The 1,106-nt window shown below is 41.0% G+C and overlaps 1 annotated feature.

Annotated features, from left to right (window-relative positions):
• Positions 581 to 860: an enhancer, noted in NCBI's record as "active region_28570". NCBI's record gives its function as "activates an Ori minimal core promoter by ATAC-STARR-seq in GM12878 lymphoblastoid cells {active_cell/tissue: GM12878}" and the evidence as "EXISTENCE:reporter gene assay evidence [ECO:0000049][PMID:35858748]".

The raw sequence follows: 1,106 nt of genomic DNA on the forward strand, positions 1-1,106 counted from the left end.
TAACTGTTGTTATAAAATCATATGGACCAACTAAGGGTATCAGTTGTCACACTGCCTCAAGGCTTCTTCTGATTCGGGTTACAGTGCTGAATGCTTTATGCGTTAATGCATTCAGCACGTTTTACTGAGTATCGACGATCAGCCCTGTGCATTACAGCAGCCACAGGTCACCTGCAGCGTTTGAGTTCCAGAAACGTAGAGAGTCCAAATTGAGATAAGCTGTAAGTGTAAAATACACACTGGATCTCATTTAAAGAAATGTTAATATTGATTACACGTTAAAATGATAATATTTTGATATATATTAGGTTAAACAAGATATGTTATTTAAATAATTTTTTTTTAAAAAACTTTAAAAAATATTTTGTAGGAACCTTAAAATTACATATCTGGGGTTGAACAGTGTGAATTCAAACACTTTTCTATGTGCCTGGACAAATAAGCTCCCTACATTTAGGTGTTTTATATTTTAAACAAAGGAAACAGACAAAAACAAAGGAAATTAACAAGCTGGACCATTTAATATACTAAGTTGTATGATGAGAATAAAACTGTGTGGTATGACGGAAAGGTATGGAGTTGGTGCTTCTTTGGATAGAAAAGTTAAGAAAAGGGGGTGTCTCCGAGAAGGTGACATTGAGTTAAAATGAGAAGCCTGCAGAATCAGGATGCTCTCCAGCTGCTCTGGATATCGACCTGAGCCATTTGTAAAAGAGACCTGAAGTTTCAGTTTCTCTGTGAAGCCGTCATAGGGAATCCCCAGAAAGCTCAGGGGCGGGCTGAGGGCAGCCTGCAGTGCTGTAAGGACATCATGCTAGCACTTCAGGGCCAGCCTGAGGCAGGTCCCCTGCACAACAGACACCTCCACCTGACACTGGAATGCTTCTGAGCCTACTGACGTTATGGCAGCTGAGTCAGGCAGAATGCAGCTCGTGTAGGACCTTTTGGCTCCCCTGTTCACCTCGTGTGTCATAGTTAAACACACACTCTCCACTAGATAAGTTAGGAGGTGTTTCTCAGAAGGAAAATAGCCATAACAACGAGTTTTGTTAAAAAAAAAAAAATTCTGGGGCCTTCCACTGTGCTTTCCCATCAGAGCCTGCCCC

This window comes from Homo sapiens, chromosome 9 (genome assembly GCF_000001405.40).
Source record: "Homo sapiens chromosome 9, GRCh38.p14 Primary Assembly".
In the NCBI taxonomy this organism is placed as follows: Eukaryota; Metazoa; Chordata; class Mammalia; order Primates; family Hominidae; genus Homo; species Homo sapiens.